Source organism: Homo sapiens, chromosome 1 (assembly GCF_000001405.40).
Source record: "Homo sapiens chromosome 1, GRCh38.p14 Primary Assembly".
NCBI classification, from domain to species: Eukaryota; Metazoa; Chordata; class Mammalia; order Primates; family Hominidae; genus Homo; species Homo sapiens.
The window spans coordinates 213,980,200-214,001,665 of NC_000001.11; the positions used below are offsets into that span (position 1 = coordinate 213,980,200).

The window sequence follows — 21,466 nt, forward strand, 5'->3', positions numbered from 1 at the left end:
AAACGACGCTTCCACACGCCCCCTCCCCGCCTGTTTCCCGGGCCTCCTCCGGGGAAACTGGCGCTCTTCGCCCACCCAACTCCCCTCCACCCACCTCCCCCGCGCCCCCAGTTCGAAGTTCCCCCGACAGAGCCCACCCACACTCGCTCCCCCAACTCCACTCCCTTGCCCCTCCCACACACACACAGCTACACACTACCCCTGTCCCGCCCATTCACACTCTGCAGACACACTTCCCCCAGCCCTCCCCATCCCGTTCTCCCCCAACTCACCCACCAACACCCTTTGCCTCTCGGCCTTTGCCCCCTGTCCACCTACAAGTGTAGGGAATAGAGCTCTTTCCACTAGGAGGGTGCTTGGGGAGGAGAAGCCAGAAGTTGCCATCCATTTTTGTACAGTTTGACCCCAAATATGTTTCTCTCTAGTTTTTGGGGGGCGCCCTTTGTTTTTGTCCCCTAAAGTTACGGACTTTTTCCACCTAGGAAACAGGGACAGAGAAAGTAGCCAGAGAGCAGGAACCTTCCACGCTTGCCCAAAGACCACGGACACCAGGAGGACAGGCATCTAGGGGTGATGCTTCCTCTTTCCCTCATTCAGAGAGTGCAGTGCCTTCACCCCGACCCCTGGGGTCCATTCACTAGGGGCTGGGCCCACCGACACCCCACGCTGGCAATCCCTTCTTTACTCCCCCCGCCCCCGGGAATCTACGATTACTTTATCTCAAGCCTTTTGAGGGTACCAGCAAAACACCTTTCTCGGGATGTTTAATAAGCTGCTCACAGGCCTCTGCAGTTGAAAAACTGTCAGCCCTCTTGAGCTGTTGTCTGCTGCTTCAGCCCGTTCCATTTCCTTGGCTTTCTTCCCCCCACTTCTGCAGTCACAGCCGAGCATGGCACCTTCCTGCCCAGCTTCCTTTCCCTTCTCACAGCTGTCCTTGGCTGTCTGTCCCCTAATCACCTTGGGGTATGCTTCTATTCATTGGTTTGAACATAACTTTATGAAAGTTTATATTTTAATTTACATGGATTTGGGGGAGGTTATTGAGTCAAACATGTAAAAACATATAACATATGATCTACATTTGCTTTTGTTTTACCTAGGAATGTTGTCTTTTTTTTTTTTCTCTCCTTCTTGTTGTTCCCTTTTGAAGAGAACTCTTTGTCCTGTGGTTTCATTGGTCTGACCAGCGGTTTCTTTAGGAGATGCTTGCCATCTATAAAACAGGGAGGGTGAACGGGCCAAAAAAAGGTGGGGGTGGGGTGGAGGAGGAAGTAGACTTCAGATTGGTAAATTCCCCCCTTTGCCAGTAGGCCTGATGGACAGTTCTAGGTCCAAAAGCACAGGGCCTAGCTTCCAAATGTGCCAATTCTGATTTATTTTATGGCCTAAAAGACGGGGGAGGGGAAAGCATGTAAAGGTGACAACTATGCATGAGCTAAAATGTGCATACACATACATATCCCATGACAGTCCAGCTGGCTTCACCAAAACGTTGGGGATAGGGACAGGTCCTTATAAGAATACATGTCAGCTCGAGTGTACACAGCACTCATTTGTGGGCAACATACCTTCCAAGTATTGAGCACTAGTCATGTGCTGAACAAGTTTAGTCGTGTAGAAGTCTCTCAATAAATCTATGATTTGGATATTATCCCCACTTCACAGATAAAAAGAACTGAGTCTCAAACAGATTAAGTAACACACTGAAGGTCACAGAGTCAGTAACAAACCAGCTGAGCAGTAATTAAAGACACAGGGTGACCCCCAGATTCCCAGGTCCTTCTTCTGATTACCTCACTGGGGTGGGCCCAGAAATCTTTATTTAAAACAACAACAACAACAACAACAACAACAACAAAACACCCCTTCGGTGATTCCGATGATTCGTCAGGTCTTCGGAAGCACCACTCCACATCAAACCATCCCGCTATTCCTGTCACCAGCCTTGCCTCCAAGCAGCCTACTCCACGTTGGACAAAACATTTAAAACATATTTAAATAGCAATTTCGAAAAACTATACAGCATATGGATTTTCCTTTTGATCTCAAAATGATGACAAACAGACACTTAGATACTTCATAAAAGAAATATTACCAGAAAAAATATAGAAATCTGGCTTTCAACTTCATCTTGCTCTAATTTAAACAAAATGCAACTTTCCAGTTACTCTCTCCAAATGCATCCAAACTGGGAGCGTCCTTCTCTTTTCGCTGCGTCAGGCAGGCACCTACTTATTTCTAGCCCACTCCTCACCCTGAATAAAAGCTTCTGGTAAGATGGACAATATGGAAAACTTCAGTCCTATCACCAAAGCCCCTGAAAATGGAGCACCCCCGAATTCACATCCTTGACGTGAAAGACCAAAGAGAGGGAAGCTGGGAGTAACGGCCAAACATCCTTAGAGTAATTGACAAAAGAAAGGGGGTGGGCAGAAAGGGAGATTTCCATCCCTTCAAACGTGCACGCCCCTCCCGCGGTCCCGGGAGGGAGTCCCCCCTCCCAGGTCGAGCGCGTCCACCGGCTGTCCCCACAGCAACAGGCGGGCGGCGGGGGAGGAGAGGCCGCGGGGGCAGCGCAGGCCTGGCGGCGGCCGAAATCCCCCGGCCACCACGACGTTCCCCGGCTCTGCGGCGCGCCGGGAGCAGGTGGTTGCCCTCTGCGTCCAGGGCGTGTACTGAGCCCAGGCTAGCTGAGCGAGGCTGCAGCCCCTGCGATGGCCCGGGAAGAGGCAAGTGCCGCGGGGCCAGAGCGAGGAGGGACCAGCAGGGCGGCCTGGACCCCCACTTGGCCGCGCAGGCAGGAGGGGCGCGCCCTCTGCGGAGCGCGGCGCCGCGGCAGCCGCAGCATCTGGCGCTCGCTCTCTCTGGCCGGAGAGGCCGCGACACCTAGCGCGGGGCCGAGGCTAGGAAGGGCGGGCCGGGGAGGGAGGAGGGCACTGGGAGGAAGCCGCGGGCGAGGAAGCCCCGCTCCTGCCGAGTGCCTGGAGAGGAGATTCCCAGCCTTCCTGCCCAACCCGAAACTTTTCCAACACACGCAGGCGTATTCCTCGCAGGATTCGGCGGTCCCGAGTCGCAGTCAGGGAGGAGGCTCGGGAAGCACACGTGCCCTGGCACACTGGAGGAGGTACACAGGCACACCAGGAGGGACAGGGCCTCTTGGGAGGCGGCTGAGGGCGTGAAGGCAGCAGGCGGCCACACATCCGAAAGGGACTCCCTGCGAGCGGGATCGAGCGCTTAAAACCCTGCCACAGCTTGGAAGTGTAGCGGTGCCCAGAGGCTTTGCGTAACTTTGCCCACTGCGCCCCCGCGTGCAAAGGTGTCCCCTTCACACTCACACCCTCACCCCATCTCACTCCCCTTGAGTTGCGGCCCGAGACTGCCTTTGTACTTAAGCGACAGCAAAAGATATGTGGATTTGAACCAAAGATGGTGGGCAAGAGTGTTGTAAATTGTGTAAATTCCACTCGCGGGAACCCCCAGATACGTAGGGAGAGCACCCCTTTCTCGCCGAAGGCATCCCCTCCGTTTCTCTCAGCCTTTGGGTTTCCAGCTTCTTCGCTACTATGGACTGAAGAAGACAAAGCACAGCCAAATCAATGTTTTGGGTGTTTTTGTTTTTGTTTGGTTTTTTTAAATCACGGCCTCTCCAAATGCTAACCCTCAAAACGATGGGTGGGGTTGGAGAAAGGCAAGTTATGTCAGGGAGCACCCCTCGGAAGGCGCGCGCGCGGCCTGGCCGGTTCCTCGCCGGGCTCTGGGCAGCCGGGCGGAGTGGCTAGATTATGTAAGTAGCAGCCCTCCATGTGCTCACCACCATCTGTTAATATCTTGGTATTGGAAAGTTCGGTGCCTGAGGCAAAGCCAGGGTTGGCGGCGAAGAGCTCCCAGCCTACACTTCACTACTCCAGGGCAGGGAATGTACTTCCCTTTGATTGTTTTCGCCCACTTCCATAAAATCAAGTAGTAGTGTGTCCCTTCAATCACTGACAACCTCCTCATCCCCGCGGGTGTGTCTTTGTGGGCGAAGAGTGATTTTCTTCGAGGTCAACTTATTGTAATTAGCCCTTTCGATGAAATTATATTTTCATGACAATTCTGCGCTCCTTAAAGCAATGTGGCAGACTCTTATTTGGGAGTGGGTTCTTTATCATTTTAAAAATTACTTTCTTTCTGCCAGCACCCCTGGATCCAAATTCTTGTAAGGGTTATATTTCAACTTCTTTGGAGTGATTGGCTTCTGTTTACTTTGAAAGCTGTTGGTTAAACAAACATCACTCAGGAGGCTTCTAAGCAGTGGGGTTCCCAGGAGAGAAAACGCTGCAGCTGCTACTTGCTACTGATCTTGTGGCATTTCACTTCCCCCCCATTCAGAACAAATCCAGGTTGGGCTTGGCGTCACACTGAGCACAGGAGATGAGAGTGAGAGGCCGTCAGTCAGTTTTGCCTCTAGAAAGCTTGCAGCAGGCAGGCCTGCACCCTGGGGTTGGTTTTCCTCTCTTCCCTTCTTCAGGGTGCTGATAGTGATGGTGGTAGTGGTGGCGGTGGTGGTGGTGGTAGCGGTGGGTGGCTGACCTGGAAGTCCTTAGGCACCCTTTTCCAAAATCCACGTCCACTTTTGCCTCTCAACTGAATCTGGTTGTAATTCTCAGAATTGGTTTGTTTAGGATCTGATAACAGTTGTTTGTAAGGTTTTAAATTACTTATACACACTGTCTTCCCTCCTGCCCCCACCTAACAGCTTTAAGAAAGAACAGGAGGCGTGAGCATACACCGAGCAAATGTCAAGGCGAAGTGTATTTAACCCAGAACCAGATGCATGGGTGATAACTGCGAGTTTGTCTAAGAACACACAGATCACCCTTCAGATAAATAAGTAAATGCAACCTGCACGGATAGAGTGTGTTACAAGACCGGTCAGAACTTGCGTTAACTTCTAAGTTACTGGGGTTGTGTTGGAAGTGGGGCGGAGGGAGGAGTTGTCTTAACCCTAGGCTTGGCGGCTGGTTTCAGAGATGGAGCCAATATCTAGGCGACTCCTTGTCTCCAGGCTTCTCCCCTATCAGAAAACAAAGCGGGAGTCGCCCGAGATAGGGGGCTCGGGCCTCAAGTCTTGTCCAGGGCAGCCCGAGACCCAGGAGAATGCCGCAGCTCTAGCAAGAGAGGTTGCCAGGAGCCTGGCCTGTACGCCTCCCCGACAGTAGAGGACAGGACACGGGACAGGGCTGCGCCGAGGCAGCTCACGGAGCTGGGCTGCGAACCGATCTCGCTCGCCTAGCGTGGCGCGCGCTCCTATTTCAAGTCGCCGCTCCTGCGCCCTAATGCGGGCTGCGAACCGCCGCGGCAGAGCGTCGCGAGCCGGGAGCCTCTGCCGCCGAGGCTGGGGGTGGGAGAGCTTCCTTGTTCGGCAAGCGGGTTACCCCGACTTCGACTCAGGCCTGCTTTTGCCCACGGCGTGACACAGGACTTACTGGGGTTCTCAGGGAACTTTTCCCGCCGCCAGTTCCCGGGCGTGGTGTGTGCAAAACGTGCATTCAAGCGCTATGTGCAATTGACACAAACTTGTGGGCTAAAGTGCAAGCCATTTTTTTCGCGTTTGAATCTTTTTCTCTGTCCCTGACTCCTTTCTTCCCCCTACTCCCCCCTCCTCCTTCTCTGCTCTCCGCCCTTTTAAATGTCAAACTGAGCAGATGGTTTTAAGGTGTGGAAAGGTATATAGCCCTTACTCCTACCAGTTTATTTGTGGGCTGGCGCTAACTTATATGTACAAACCAAGATTCTTAAAGAAAACTAGTAGGACGAAAAATAAGAAAGAAAGTAGCTTTGATCCATTCTCAGATCCCAAGTTTCCCCGCTCAATACACCCGCTTACCTCGAAGGGACCCAACCAATAGAAGCATTATTCCGTCCTGTATCTAATGGGCATGTTGATTATTTCTGCTCCCAGCCTCAACTGTCACATCCCGGTTAGAACACCTGATACAACAGTCAATAGTTGGAGGTGTGAGTGGTGCGTGTGCGCTCCTCTGTGTTGCTTCCGTGATAGACGCGTGGGGGGAGTGTGTGGGGGCGGCAAAAGGGGAAAGAAGAAGGCTGGGGATGCTCCCGCAATCTCTTTTCTTATCGCCGACACCTAACCTGACCGACCTAATTTTTTTTCTCCTTTTCACTGTTTGAAATTCGTGCCAAAAGTTTCCTGCCGGGATAGACTCGGACATACTAACATCGCTATTCTTATTCAAAGGGAGGGCTTAATATCCTCTTTACGGTTTGGTGAATTTGAGGCTGAAATTGTAAATTCCCTAGGAAGGAGTGTGTGTGTGTGTGTGTCGCAGAAGACATTGGTAGTGTTTGGCCAGTGTACTTGTAACACACCTCATAAATACCCTGTTGTCACGACACAGCATGATTCAACCTTTGATCTGATTAAATTTGAGGGACACACGAAGACTACTTGTCCTCCTCCTACTTACAAAAATGAGTGTCTAATAGACTATGTATGAATGTTTCTGCTTCGCAGCTCTTGCAAGTCCCAGCTTTTATAGGATCTTTAGGTCATAAACGCGGCTGCTTTATTAAAAGCCGTTTACTGTGCCCGGTGAAAGGGACGTTCTAGCTGCGGCTGAGGCTCGCTTGCATTTGTAACTTGCAAAGCCCAAGGAGATCTTTAAGAGCCACATTATCTAAAGAAATTTTGCTGGTTATTTTTCAAGCAAGAAATGTCAAACCAAAGTAAATTTTCTAGGGCTTTATTTTAGAGCCTGCGATTTATGCGTTTGAAATTTCTTGCCTAATAAACTTTAAAGTTTGTTGCCCAGGCGTCAAAACTGTGTAAATCCTGTATTGAACAGCTATCTTTGGTCTTTCTGGGGCGAGTGAATTAGTGAAGGGTAATCGCCAGATGTTTGCAACATATATATTTTTAAAGGCTGCTTTACCTACAATCCAACTAATGTCAGAGGTAACCAAGGGTAAATATTCCTCTTCCTGATAATTTGGACTGGAGATAAACTGGGACTCAGCCAATGTTGATCTTCGTCTAATAACAGATGCAGCGGACCCGATGTGAAACCTCTGGCACCTATTATTTTAATACCAAACCTACCTGTATTTTATTGTCCACCTCCCCTTTAAAAGGAACCAAGGGTGACACGTATCCTTGACACTACCTATGATCGTTTAAAAAGTGGAATGATTTGCAGATCCCCCCCTCCCTCCTCCTATGCCACCCCCACCCCTAAAACCCCCACTTTTTCTCCCGTATACTTTTCCGTGCCTTCCTCCACCCAAGTCGGAGGAGCGCTCACTCGCTCGGCCACTCGGCGAACTCGATCAGCTGTATCTGGGAAATGAAAAAAGAAAAAGAAAAAAAAAAAAAAAGACCTGCGTCCTGGAAGAGCTAGTGTGAGCCGGGCGCCGCTCGCGCCGTCTCCCGCTTTGCATAGTGCCCGCAGATGGCTCGCTCCGGCCCAGGCGCGGCGATCCAGTCGTCCCGAAGCTGTGGCAGGGTGGGGGTGGGGGTGGGGGCCGGGGATGGAGGCCGGGGAGGGGGAGCGCAGGGCCCCTCTCCCCTCCTCTCTTCCCAGCCCCTCACCCCCACCCCTTTTATATTTTTTTTTCCTCCCAAGTTCTCTTGCCTTGCTATCCCCCCTTGAATCCGAAGGCGCCTCGCGATTGGGTGCTGGGGCCGGGTACGTCAGATAGACTGTGACGTGCAGTCTTCCTGTTTCCTTCAGCTGTGTCTTAAAGTAAATCTTGTTGTGGAGCGGAGCCCTCAGCTGAGGGAGCGCTCTGAAATAATACACCATTGCAGCCGGGGAAAGCAGAGCGGCGCAAAAGAGCTCTCGCCGGGTCCGCCTGCTCCCTCTCCGCTTCGCTCCTCTTCTCTTCTTTACCCTTCTCCTCTCTCCTCCTCTGCTGCTCTCTCCTCTCCTCCCGCTCTTCTCTCTCCTCCTCTCCTGCTCTCTCCTCTTCCCTTAGCTCCTCTTCTTTTCTTCTCCTCTTCTTCCCTCTCCTCGCCTCTCCCCTGCTCCTCTTCTCTCGTCTCCCCTCCCCTCCCGCCTCTCTCTCCCCTCTCCCTCTCCCACTCGCCCCGCTCGCTCGCTCGCTGTCGCACAGACTCACCGTCCCTTGTCCAATTATCATATTCATCACCCGCAAGATATCACCGTGTGTGCACTCGCGTGTTTTCCTCTCTCTGCCGGGGGAAAAAAAAGAGAGAGAGAGAGATAGAGAGAGAGAGAGAGAGAGAGAGAGAGAGGCTCGGTCCCACTGCTCCCTGCACCGCGTAAGTATCTTCTTCTTCCCCTCGTGAGTCCCTCCCCTTTTCCAGAATCACTTGCACTGTCTTGTTCTTGAATGAGAAAGGAAGAAAAGAGCCTCCCATTACTCAGACCCGTGTAAACATTATTCCCCCCAGGAGAAAATGGTGTTATTCAAATGAATCATAATAAAATAGCCTCTAAACAGTTTCTAAGCGGGAGCCTCCGTGGAACTCAGCGCTCCGCTCCTCCCAGTTCCTAAGAGTAAGTGATCCTCTTGGCTTTTATTTCTTTCTCTTTCCTGCTGGTGGCTGGGGGTGGCGGTGGCGATGGGGGGGAGGCTGATGTTGCTGGACTTGTCGCTGATCTTGTCACCTTTTGTGTACTGTTTCTGGGGTGTGAGGAGGCGTTTGCTCCCTTTCCTTCTTTCTCCTGCTCTCTCTTCTCAGGAGAGAGGACCGCGAGAGGGACCGGGTCGCTTTTTTGTTCGTGGAGATCCCCGCTTTCCGCCAAACCCCATCCTTCCGATCTCCCCAGGCTAAAACTCCGGGGCCGGTCCCCTTGTCCTTTCTCTTTGTCTTGTTTATTATAGCTGCCTTTCTTCCCGGCTCTTCCAATTTGCTTGTCATTTGCATACCTTTCACTTCTCCTTTTTTAACCCCAGCAGAGGACCGGGAACTGGGAGGAGGAGAGAGGGAGGTGGGGGGGCGCTCTGTTACTTTCGTCTCAAAACGCTGTCGAAGCCGAATTGTGGAAATCCGGCTTGGAGGGGAGCGGTGATGGGTCCCGGGAAACGCGCGCGGCGCCCCTCTTCCGAGCTCCTGGACCCAGGGCTGGGTCAAGTTGAGTAGGGTAAGGCGGCACCGGGAGGCTCGGGGGGTCGCGTGGCGGTGGGATTGGGACACCAGCACGAGGAGGACCGGAGGATCGCGGGCCGGGTAAGAGTAGGGGGTTCTTGGGCAGCAGAAATGGGAGGCGATGAATCTCCCAGCCATCGCTGGCAGACTATGGTGTTGGGCAGCTTCGGTCTGGTCTCGTCTGGGTGGTACCTACCGTTTTGCCCCAGTTAGGAGGACTGGGGAGGGAGGACAGGAGAGGTGAGAGTAATTGTTACTGGGAAGACTAGTGAGGAGGGCGGGAAGAGGGAGGGAAGAGCTGCTATCTTGCCTGAGCAGATCAGGAGGGGGACGCAGTGGGCGGGGGGAGACATCACCCAAAGTCCAGTTTAGCAAGTTGTTGATTCTTCTGGTGTGCCAGCCCGTTACTCCCCCTGCTGAAGCTGAAGGTTGGTGGAGTGATGGAGCGTGGGGATGGTAAAGGAGGAGTAAGTAGCTTTCCACAGACTCCCAGGTCTCTGGCCCCTTCCCAGCTTCTTGGGAAATTGAGAGCCCTCCAGGCAGACAGAGAACAGAACTAGAAGGAGGGGTGGTGCTTAGTCTTAAATAGCTCAAGGAGGCAGGTTGGAGTGTGAAACTGCTGTTCTTGGCAACCCAGAAGGCTACTCTGCCTGGGGGAAGGCTGGAAACTCACCTGCTTGTTTTTATTTTTCCGAGAAGATCTGTGCTGTCTCCTTGAGCTTATAAAAACAGAGGAAGCACAGGGTGGCCTCCTCGCAAAGTCAAGGCTAGAAGACTCCCTTCTCCTGTTCTCTTTTCCACTCATGCCCTCCCTTATTTAAAAAAAAAAAAAAAAAGAAAGAAAAGAAAAAAAAAAGAACTCATTTCCTTTCCTAACCTAGGTAGGCAGAAATCTATTAGCAGAGTGCGCATGGGCAGGGCCTGACAGGTGTGTTGTGTCAAGAAAGACAGGTGCAAATTTCCTCTGTGTCTGTGTGTGTCTGTACAGCTCTAGACCACAATGCTTGCTCGAGGGTTGGAGAGGTTTATGAATTTATGGTTGTCCTGGTTAATAGGATTGTCTGGGCTAATGGGAATTGGGCTGTTGTTCTTTTGAGCCCTGCCATGTGAGTTCTTGGGGTGGGGGGTGGGGGCAAGTTGGTATGTGTTTGTTTATTTTTCTTAAGGATATTGGCAGTCTACTGCTGAGGCTGTGTCCCAGGCTTCTGTCTGCCAGTCAGCCCAAAGCACCCCCACTTTAGGCAGCAGGTGGAGGGAGACTGACTTTTCCTTTGCTTCCTACCAGTTTATGCCTATCTCCCAGGTCTGTGCTTGGCAGAGAGAGAGAGAGAGAGAGAGAACTGTCGTGTGTGTGTGTGTGTGTGTGTGTGTGTGTGTGTGTGTGTGTTTGTGTGTGTGTGGTGTATGCTTTGGATAGCAATGAGTGGTGTGTAACTGCCAAGAATTCCAAAGTCAGTTTGAAAGTGTTACTGTTGTTAAAGCTTATCTTTTTAAGCATGCTTTCTCCTTGCCCAGAAAGAATAGGTATGTACATAAACTCTTTCAAGTCATATGTTAAATAATCTCATAAAGTAGAATGAGCCTGTCATTGTCCCAGACATGTGCCAAATGTCCTAGATATGAATTTGATGGAGAAAGAAAATCTCAAGTACATGAGAAGGTAACTGTGCTTTTCTATTCTGATGCAAGATGTGAGAAGTCAGTTCTACAGGGAATTTCTTGCAAGAACTTCTGAGTATTTCCAAAATGAAATTTTTTGTGTGTGTTGAGGGAGGAAAACGAGAGTATTCACATTAACTTGTCCATGGGTTAAAACATGGACATGTATATGTAATAGTAAAATAGGTGAAGCTAAGGACTGTGGCTTGATGTGTGAGGAAAGTTGTTGGGAATTCAATGTAAGCACTATATCTGGCTTCTTAAAACTTGACCTTTTAAAATTATCTTTAAACAGACTACTTCTGTAGACTGAGTTGCACAGGAATAGGTTGGTTGGCAAATGGTTTTTGCTCATTGGCTTTGTGTTTGGGTAGTTATTGTTTCCATGAAAATGAGATCGTATGTGTCATTTATTCTGTAGACTTCAACATTAACGTCCCCCCACCTCCCAAACACACACACACACACCCAATACTTTCCTTGGATGCTTTTGAAGTTCTTTGGTAATTAAAATGTCATCTATGCCTATGTTCATTTGCTTTATTTTTAATAGGGGTTATCTGTGCTTGGCACTTATTGATATTTTATGTGTCCATTATGCAGAATTCTATTTAGTTTAATCACCACCTTGTGGGAAAAAAAAGTCATGCATACATAACATGCATCTTTGTTCTCACTTTATTCATTTCCTAGCATCATTCCTCTATAAGCAGCACATGCTATCTTAAAACCTAAGCTGGCTTATTCTGTAAGTTGCCAGACTTCCTCTTTATTTGTTTAAAACTCAAACAGGCCTCTTTTCATGAATGTCTTATATCATTTTAGGGATTGTCTTGAATTTGCAGTGTTAATATAAGAAGTTTTAGGTTTCAGATTAACAAAAGAAATTATAAAATGTGACTGATGTTATAATATGAAAATAGATTGTGCATGATGTATCATTATAGGATTTTAATTAAGTACCTGTGTAACTTGGAAAGGAACCATATACATAAGGAATTTCTCAGACTTATTGCCTGTGCATTCTCAAAGGACATTTAGAGAGTTCAATTTTCTGCAAAAAGAAAAAAGTGTATTTTCTTAAGATTATTTCACACTCTGTCTTATTTACCTATCTGATAAGTTGTTACTTTTTAAACAAGTAGAAATTAATATTTTAGGCATGTCTCAGAAAATGTTCTGTGTTCATTTTGCAGGTGAAAAGTGTGTGGAATTTTTGATGGGATGGGAGAATCTTAAATGAAATCTTAAATGATTTGAGAAGTATATTATGACAGGAAATTTAAAAACCTGATAACGCAATCTTAGTTAATTTAGGTATTAACTTATGTCAAGTGAGTTCTTCAAAATAAATATCAAAGGTTTTCTTAACCTGATAGGGAGCAGAAATATCTCCAATATCTCTGAAGAAAAAGTTGCTAATTAGCAGAAACAAATTCTTGAATGTAGTGAAGGGGACAATTTAATGATTCAGGGGCTACTTAAATCAGACCATCTGATTTTTCCCCTTTGAATCACTAATTTCCAGATTGATTTGAAATATTCTTTGTTAATGATATCCTATTTGAAATTTCATAACCAGGTTGACCCAAGTAGATTAGAGGCCCATACAAAGATGATTTTCTAAAAGAAGTCAAGTGTAGGCTTGCACAATTTCTTCAAATAATTTTATCAACAAAGACAGATCATCTAAATAATCCAAGCAGGAAACCATGCCAACCTTACACTCTCCCTGCCTCATAAAAGATTTGTCTGAACTATCTGGATAATTACCGTAATGAAACACTTCTTTGTCCAGAATCTGGACTCCAGATAGATGCAGTAAAAGTTGAATCCTCCTCCCCGAAATAACTTCTTTATTAAAGTAGAGCACTTAACCACTTTATACTTCACGCTGCAGTGTTCCTTTGAAATTCTTTACTGAAAATTCTTTCCTCCTAACCTTAAGTCATCAGTTTCCTTAGAATTTTGCATGTTAAAGAGAATGTCAGATAATTCAGATATTAAAGGAGACTCTTTTGGAGTAGTTAAAACCTGTTTTGATTATACCTGGATGTTTATTCTTCTAATATCTTTTTCTGGGAGGAATCTGCTATGTTAAGATATGCATTGTATAAGAATTACTAAAGCATTTGTGTAGGTTATATACGAAGTGATGCAACAAAATATTTAATGATGAAAAACTCTATATAGACTTTCACATTAATTAAAGAGGGGTTTACAGGAATAGAGTAAGTGTATCCGATCAATAATACATTTGGGTTCAAATTCTCATCAGTATTTTTCTGCATCCTTGCTGATTTGGACATCCACCAGTGTTGATCAAAAGCTTCATATTGCCTAGTGAAACTGAAAATTAATGTTAAAATGCAAATATGATATGCATCAATAATAATTGCAGGTGAAACATGATAGCTTAATACATATCTTGAGAAATAAAGGAGTTTAAAAAATATCAATGATAAAGTCATTCCATGGCTTCCTTTAAATTCTGAACTGGAATATCATGGAAGCACTTGGGAAATGTTTTTAAGAGATTTAATTTATATTATGGTAACGTAACAGTACATTTTCTTATGTGGTAAATATATTCATATAGATATCTTGTTTATGAAATGTGATGCTAATAAAGTGCTGTGTCAACCGGTTATTATTATTTAATCATGCCTATAGCTTCCATGGGTTATGGTTCCAGTGTGTGCTACCACTATACTTTTATTTCTAAATTAAATCTAAGCTATATGGAGAGATATATTTATTTGTGCCTATTAATATAATGCCTTGTCCTGGATTATATAATTTATCTTATTTTTCCCATTTGTTTTGTCTTATTTGTTATGTTCCAGCTGGACATTTTACAACAAGACCTAAAAGTATTTAAATTCTTTTAGCCCAAGACAGATACAAATCGTTATTTAATCTAAAAATGTTGACTGAAATAGAATTACAAAATTAGTTTAGTTTGGTGAATATCAAGGGAGTTATATCTTGTTCTTAACAGACTCCACAAGCATTTCTTTCCACCTTAGGAAGAGCACAGCCCTCCTCTTGGCTCCAGCATGGGGCAGGGATGCAGCTGTTGATACCTAGGCTAGATGAGAGGAAGTGCAGTTGACGCAGAGGTAAATGGCAGTTGGAAAAGGAAGGATGCCTGGGGATGACCTTGTGCTCATCAGCGACACCAGTCTGTCCTTTCCAAGCCTCTGTGGCAGAGCTGCTCTTCCCACAGCAAGGATGGCAGGAGGAAAGTCCAGTTTGGGTGTTAGGGTGAACAGGGAGAGAAAAAATACTGCAAAAAGTTTGTTTGACATTTTGATTGGAGATCCATGTGCTTTGCAGGTGATAGTCAAGAGAAAAGGATTTGCATACAAATAGAAAAGATGTAAAATTTAAAAATAAGGGCAATAAGCTCTATTTTGGGGAAGGTGATATACACACAGAAAAAAGTCTTCCTTGTAACCGCCCCCCATGCAAGTGTTTCTTTGATTAACAGAGCTTTGAAATGATTCATCCTTTTTCTTGTCTCAGCCTCTCCTTGTTCTTTCTGTCATCTGACAGCTAACCTGATTTATCAGATCTAATGTGTTTGTGTAGTATTTGTCACTGCATTTTTGTATTCCTGAAACCAATTTTATTATTAGTGTTTGAAAGGGTCTCAATCATTCTGAATTCAATTTTGAACCCAATGTTGTAGTTCTTGAGAACTCCATCTCCATTCTAAGTTCAGGAAATTTTATCCTGAAGCATGCAAAAAGTATTTCATTCTCAAGCATGCAAATATATATATATATATATATATATATATATATATATATATATATATATATATAAAGAGGTATCATTTTGCTTTCATGATACCCTAAAGCAGGCTCTTTTAAAATGTTTTATCTTTCTATAGAAACCAGGAGCAAAGATTTCATGAGGAAATCACTGTCACTTAAAAAAATATACATATTGTTGCCATCTAAGCATTGAGCATTTTCTTGATTTTTACAGGTTATTTCATGCTGAAATTATGCCTATTTGCATGGATAGTCATTCTTTAAAGCTAGCCACAGATGCAGTCCTAGGGAGCACGTAGATGTTTTTACAGGTGAACCGAAAGAGATGGGAGCCGTTCCAGACACTCTGCATGCTGCCTTTGGCAATGGACCCTGTTATTGTGAAGATGTGCTCTGTTAAGCAAACGTGAAGTTTAATATTAGATAAACCCAACGTGAAAAAAATTTTCATTTTCTTCATAAAATGTTAATTATAAACAAAAAGATGTGACATCTTATATGTCTACAAAATTTGGGATTAGCATCACTAGTTAATAAGTTACACAATGTCAAGTGCCTTTTATGAAATTCAAAGAAGGATGTTCTCTTTTTATACTGTGTTTCCAAGAAACAATGGAAGTTCATATACAAAGAAATATTTCCCTTTCTCACACATTTGATGGACATTATTTTCTTTCTTCTTTATATATCTTCTTTCAGTTTTTTCTGTTTTTTTTTTTCCTTTAATTTGGCACAGGAAATAAGGTTCACAAATCCTGTATGTTAAAGAGTTTCTTTGGGCATTGGACATATTATTTTGGCAGATTTAAACAGAAGGAAACTAGTCCTGAAGATATATTTATCTTTATCTCGGTCAATAACTTATTATTCCTCATATTGATTTCTAAAATGTGGTAACATCCTTGTTTTGCAGTGAATCCAACTTTGTAATAATTTGTCATTAAAAGGACATTATGAAAATGTATAAATATTCTTATAGTTACATTAAGATATATCAACAGATATCATCTTCACCTATGATTTTACAAGTAAAAAATGCATAGCTAAGCTAAATAAGCAGACTTATAAAATGACTATTGTGCATTTATTTCAATGCTAAACTGACCATTTATGTTTGAAAGATGCTGCTGCTAAGGGTGTTCTCCTTCCCATTTTACATATGACAAAAATATTGTAAAATTCAAGAATAAAAGCTCTCTATTATATATTTGCATTTATTTTAGAGTCCTTTTCCTTTAATAGCGTTAAAACCACACTAATTGTAATGCAGAAATGCAATTTTTCATGTGAATTTCTCATAGTCTCAAAATTTAACCTTATTTCTTAAGTATAGAGCAGTTTCATCTTCCTTATAATATGAATCTCAATGCCCAAAATTTAATCAATTGGTTGTCAGAGGCTGTGTTCTTATAATCTACTGTTTCTTCTGAAGATAAACAGTATCATTTTAGGCATTTGTGAGAGAGAATCATATTACTGGTGCTTAAGCAGTTTTTGCTTAATTTTTTTTTAATCTTAATCCATCTTAAACCAGTGGAGCAGAAATATTTAAAAATGTTTCATTTCAAGCAGAGTGCATAATAAATTGCAATAATTGTAATGTGCCATAAATCCCAGAGCCTATGCATTTTGCATTTGATTCAGGATTGAGGTCAGGAAATTTGGAGAAATTTAAAGAAAATGATTCATCAGTCCTTTTGTTCTGTTGGCCAGGGTCCCGGGATTCTTGAGCTGTGCCCAGCTGACGAGCTTTTGAAGATGGCACAATAACCGTCCAGTGATGCCTGACCATGACAGCACAGCCCTCTTAAGCCGGCAAACCAAGAGGAGAAGAGTTGACATTGGAGTGAAAAGGACGGTAGGGACAGCATCTGCATTTTTTGCTAAGGCAAGAGCAACGTTTTTTAGTGCCATGAATCCCCAAGGTTCTGAGCAGGATGTTGAGTATTCAGTGGTGCAGCATGCAGATGGGGAAAAGTCAAATGTACTCCGCAAGCTGCTGAAGAGGGCGAACTCGTATGAAGATGCCATGATGCCTTTTCCAGGAGCAACCATAATTTCCCAGCTGTTGAAAAATAACATGAACAAAAATGGTGGCACGGAGCCCAGTTTCCAAGCCAGCGGTCTCTCTAGTACAGGCTCCGAAGTACATCAGGAGGATATATGCAGCAACTCTTCAAGAGACAGCCCCCCAGAGTGTCTTTCCCCTTTTGGCAGGCCTACTATGAGCCAGTTTGATATGGATCGCTTATGTGATGAGCACCTGAGAGCAAAGCGCGCCCGGGTTGAGAATATAATTCGGGGTATGAGCCATTCCCCCAGTGTGGCATTAAGGGGCAATGAAAATGAAAGAGAGATGGCCCCGCAGTCTGTGAGTCCCCGAGAAAGTTACAGAGAAAACAAACGCAAGCAAAAGCTTCCCCAGCAGCAGCAACAGAGTTTCCAGCAGCTGGTTTCAGCCCGAAAAGAACAGAAGCGAGAGGAGCGCCGACAGCTGAAACAGCAGCTGGAGGACATGCAGAAACAGCTGCGCCAGCTGCAGGAAAAGTTCTACCAAATCTATGACAGCACTGATTCGGAAAATGATGAAGATGGTAACCTGTCTGAAGACAGCATGCGCTCGGAGATCCTGGATGCCAGGGCCCAGGACTCTGTCGGAAGGTCAGATAATGAGATGTGCGAGCTAGACCCAGGACAGTTTATTGACCGAGCTCGAGCCCTGATCAGAGAGCAGGAAATGGCTGAAAACAAGCCGAAGCGAGAAGGCAACAACAAAGAAAGAGACCATGGGCCAAACTCCTTACAACCGGAAGGCAAACATTTGGCTGAGACCTTGAAACAGGAACTGAACACTGCCATGTCGCAAGTTGTGGACACTGTGGTCAAAGTCTTTTCGGCCAAGCCCTCCCGCCAGGTTCCTCAGGTCTTCCCACCTCTCCAGATCCCCCAGGCCAGATTTGCAGTCAATGGGGAAAACCACAATTTCCACACCGCCAACCAGCGCCTGCAGTGCTTTGGCGACGTCATCATTCCGAACCCCCTGGACACCTTTGGCAATGTGCAGATGGCCAGTTCCACTGACCAGACAGAAGCACTGCCCCTGGTTGTCCGCAAAAACTCCTCTGACCAGTCTGCCTCCGGCCCTGCCGCTGGCGGCCACCACCAGCCCCTGCACCAGTCGCCTCTCTCTGCCACCACGGGCTTCACCACGTCCACCTTCCGCCACCCCTTCCCCCTTCCCTTGATGGCCTATCCATTTCAGAGCCCATTAGGTGCTCCCTCCGGCTCCTTCTCTGGAAAAGACAGAGCCTCTCCTGAATCCTTAGACTTAACTAGGGATACCACGAGTCTGAGGACCAAGATGTCATCTCACCACCTGAGCCACCACCCTTGTTCACCAGCACACCCGCCCAGCACCGCCGAAGGGCTCTCCTTGTCGCTCATAAAGTCCGAGTGCGGCGATCTTCAAGATATGTCTGAAATATCACCTTATTCGGGAAGTGCAATATCCTTTTATTTTCCCCTCGAGGAAAAAACAAACCAAAAAAGGTTTCCCAAAAGGTTGGGTTTACACAATATCTAGAGTAATGTAGATTAGTATCTTCTTAAGAAGGCAACCTTTCCCATTATTCAAAGGAATAGGCTTTTATCAGCATGCGTGTGCCATTCCTGATTGCAGAAAAGCTTAAAACTAAGCCAACATCTTTGCAGCTTCCACAAGTTGTTCACTGCCTTGAGGAGCTCCTATTTAATATGTGCTTTCTCAGCAGTGTTTTTTTTCTGCTGTTCTTCCTGCATTATCTTCTTATCCCTATCTCTTAAAAAAAATAAAGAAGTAGATTTAGAGATGAGAAAACAGTCTCATTGTAAATACTGATTGAATTCTCTCAGATATTTTTTAAAGATGGTAAGTTTAATAGAATAAGGAGAAAAGTCAGTTTTCAGATCCCTAAGATCCCATAAGAAGAATTCTCAGTGTAAACCATCTGCAAGGCTTCTGGTCCGTTTAAAGACAGCCCGATGAAATCTTAGGAAGAGCGCTTTACAAGTGGGAGGTTGAGGAGGAAGAAAAATGGATGTGGGTGGGGAGTTAGTCTCTCTTTCATCTTTAAGTGAGACTTTTTTTTTTAAGGAAATATACAGGTACTGATTTATTCAGACAGCATCGGTCTCTCTCCCGTTCACCCAAGGTCTGTTCTTTGGGTCTGGTGCAGCTGCCTCTATGCATGATTAACCTCTGTTCAGCCATACACAGAAATCTTTTGTCCCAACATACACAAAGCAAATTATTTTGGAAAGCGAGAGAGCACAATTAAATATAAAACTCAGCTGTATTCGACTTAAAAATGGCTCTTTTTATGATTCTTTTAAATTCTGAAACTGACGTTTATGTAGAGATAACAGTTATATTTTTTTATTAGGCCTATCCCGAACTCCAGCTATTTTTAACTGAAGATTTTTTTTTCTCTCTGTATATCGGTTCTTTCTGTAAATTTTTTAAAAATCTTGTGGTCGTTGGTCTTTTGGGAGTAGTAAAATAGTAGCATTTGGGGGCAGGTGGAGGCATGTTTCTTATATAATAAACAGATGGATATAAAATTTAGCAATTAAGTTGGCTGTGACTAAATTTAGGATTTTGAGCAATTGTCTTGATGACTAGAGATTGACATTTTCATATCTAAGCCCACTCCAGAGGCTGCCACGTAAGTGCAAAGTCCCAGCTATTGGTGGAAATATGTTTTCCTGGTTAGTGGAGGTCGTACTTCAAGCCACCTCTCAGGATAATAGTGTAGATTTCTGATAGGGTGAACTACTAGGGCCCTAATCATGAGTCCTGCTTGGGCAGTTAAACATGGAGTCTCTCTTATACTGAGCAAGAGAAGAACATTGTAACAGAAAGGGAAGAGAAAGATGTGGGAGATTTCTACATATACGTAGAAATGGAGTTTTAGCTTGGTTGTTGATTTCACTTGGACCTTTTGAAGATCTAAAATTCAATCCACCAGCCATGAATCAAAGCTGCACCAAGCACCATGCCTTACATATTATAAGCAGGCAGTAAATATTGATCAAATGATTGGAATATCGCTGTTGGTGATGAGAAAGGCAAAGTAAGAAGACACAATGGCTTGAATGGTTTTTGTGCCCTTTGCAAAAAGAGCATCTTCAGAGGTTCATGTAAGGCTAATGTCTAGGGCTAAGACCCCATTGCACCCCAGAGATCTCTTAACTTCATTTTGAACCAGGTAGTTGTGATAGTGGGTTCTTTCTGTCTCTCTCTCTCTCTTACACACACACACACACACACACAGACACACACACACAGAGTAAAGTGACATGCGTGCCAATTTTGGTGAATATTTAAAGATTTAATGCCAGGTTTCAAAACTCCTGTAAGTCCACACTAAGCTCTTTAGTTCAAGATGCCAGTTTATGGTTTTTCTTTAAATTAGACTTTTCATTATAACCAGATCATTATAATTATGGCTGTGCTTTTTGTTTTTAGTCTTCTAGGAAAAAAATCTTTTAGATTGCTTTAAGTGTTGGCTATGTTCATTGTCTCAACCTCTCCAAATCCCCGGAGGAATTTTGAGGATTTGAATTGAAATAAGTTCCTTTTATTTTGATACATATCAAAGGCTTTAAAGAAAATATAGTTGCTTCTTCTTCAGAGGCATGACTTCTCCTTTCTTCTATCAACATAACTTTCTGTCGAGCGGTGATTCTGTTGGGAAACACCCGTGTTCATGTGAAATGTTAGTTGCTCACACTCAGAATTGTTTCTTTCATATAGCTAAATAATGTCGGCCTCTCGTGGCAATTAGTGATTACATTTTCCACCTTTTGGCCTTCTATGCTCCTATTCTTTTCCCCCCTCTACTATTAATACATTGCACTTTTAACCATTTATCTCATTGGTATATTATTTCTCAGGAAGAGTAAGATAGGCAAACAACCTTTTCTATAGTTCCCACAATTCTGAAACCAGTGAGGATCTGTTGGTTTGTAGAGAGATTGGGCCCACTTTTCTCCTGTCTCTACCTCTGTATGGCAGTGTGTTCTTCCCTTGATTTAACTGTTAGTGTGTAGGCAAAATTCTCAAGCTTTTACTTTGAAGAAATATCTGGGAATCACAGTGAGTGATGTCTTACTTCAATTTTAGGGATACGGGGCCATATATGATCCGGTTGTACAGTTATTCCTCGAAAAGATCAATAGAAATGGGCAGAAATGTAATGAAATGGTACAACTGTGATTGCTATTATTATGTTTTAATTTTTCGTTCATGGCTTTCCAAACTGTTATATATAATTTAATTTTTCAGGAAAAATTATCTCCCACTCCAAAAGGTACCATCTGTTTTTTGAACAAAGTAGCTAAGATAAGAACTATTAAGAACACCAGCTTATCAGGTCAACCCATTCTACATTCACCACATTAAACATATATGTTCTGTAGGATAGAACACACTACCTCATTATCCCATCTAGTAGAAGGGAAATAGTGAATGTGTATGCAAGTTAAACTGAATTTCAGTGCACCTGCTCCAAGGGCTCATGTCTTGGATTTTAAAAATATGTTCAGTATCTTTGCAAATGAATCTGTTTAATCAAATATTAAGTTTTATTCAAATTCCAAAAGAAACAGTCAGCCAATTGCTTTTCTTCATGATGTTCCTTGTCATTCATCCTCTTTGCATCTCAAGAAAAATAGCCTAGTTTAGGCCCCAAACATTTGCATGCACCCAGTTAAAGCACAAGAGGAGTAGTATAAGCCGTTAAGACGTGCAGGTGAAGAAATTGAGCCTGTTCTCTGAAACAGCCGGCTTTTTCTACTCAACTTTTAGGGAGAATGTTAGAAAGACTTGAAGTTTAGAAAGGAAAATGGTTTAGTAATTTGAAATTAAAAT

The 21,466-nt window shown here is 44.5% G+C and overlaps 1 protein-coding gene and 1 long non-coding RNA gene across 15 annotated transcripts in view, besides 4 other annotated features; one reads left to right on the plus strand and one right to left on the minus strand.

Annotated features, from left to right (window-relative positions):
- The window catches only part of PROX1-AS1 (PROX1 antisense RNA 1), a 166,513-nt gene extending 160,559 nt beyond the window's left edge, over nt 1-5,954 (minus strand). The window contains exon 1 of the long non-coding RNA NR_037850.2: nt 5,870-5,954. This is a non-coding gene — a long non-coding RNA (PROX1 antisense RNA 1). The remainder of the gene's footprint in view (nt 1-5,869) is intronic.
- PROX1 (prospero homeobox 1) overlaps nt 2,952-21,466 on the plus strand; it is a 58,360-nt gene continuing 39,845 nt past the window's right edge. For 2 of the 14 annotated variants that reach the window (XM_047425575.1, XM_011509771.2), the window contains exons 1-3: nt 7,774-8,284; nt 8,417-8,522; nt 16,270-18,061. In XM_047425575.1, the coding sequence (XP_047281531.1) occupies nt 16,337-18,061 (1,725 nt within the window). In that variant the 5' untranslated portion in view covers nt 7,774-8,284; nt 8,417-8,522; nt 16,270-16,336. Of the gene's footprint in view, nt 3,125-7,773; nt 8,285-8,333; nt 8,523-9,003; nt 9,111-9,466; nt 10,776-16,269; nt 18,062-21,466 lie in introns of those variants that run through there. The other 12 variants (NM_001270616.2, XM_005273194.3, NM_002763.5 and 9 more) reach the window with 8 other exon arrangements.
- Nucleotides 3,254-3,940: an enhancer, noted in NCBI's record as "H3K4me1 hESC enhancer chr1:214156796-214157482 (GRCh37/hg19 assembly coordinates)". NCBI's record gives its function as "activates a minimal SCP1, AML or CMV promoter by ChIP-STARR-seq in naive H9 embryonic stem cells {active_cell/tissue: H9 hESC(naive)}" and the evidence as "EXISTENCE:reporter gene assay evidence [ECO:0000049][PMID:30033119]".
- Nucleotides 3,941-4,626: an enhancer, noted in NCBI's record as "OCT4-NANOG-H3K4me1 hESC enhancer chr1:214157483-214158168 (GRCh37/hg19 assembly coordinates)". NCBI's record gives its function as "activates a minimal SCP1, AML or CMV promoter by ChIP-STARR-seq in naive H9 embryonic stem cells {active_cell/tissue: H9 hESC(naive)}" and the evidence as "EXISTENCE:reporter gene assay evidence [ECO:0000049][PMID:30033119]".
- Nucleotides 8,151-8,654: an enhancer, noted in NCBI's record as "H3K4me1 hESC enhancer chr1:214161693-214162196 (GRCh37/hg19 assembly coordinates)". NCBI's record gives its function as "activates a minimal SCP1, AML or CMV promoter by ChIP-STARR-seq in naive and primed H9 embryonic stem cells {active_cell/tissue: H9 hESC(naive and primed)}" and the evidence as "EXISTENCE:reporter gene assay evidence [ECO:0000049][PMID:30033119]".
- Nucleotides 8,655-9,158: an enhancer, noted in NCBI's record as "H3K4me1 hESC enhancer chr1:214162197-214162700 (GRCh37/hg19 assembly coordinates)". NCBI's record gives its function as "activates a minimal SCP1, AML or CMV promoter by ChIP-STARR-seq in naive and primed H9 embryonic stem cells {active_cell/tissue: H9 hESC(naive and primed)}" and the evidence as "EXISTENCE:reporter gene assay evidence [ECO:0000049][PMID:30033119]".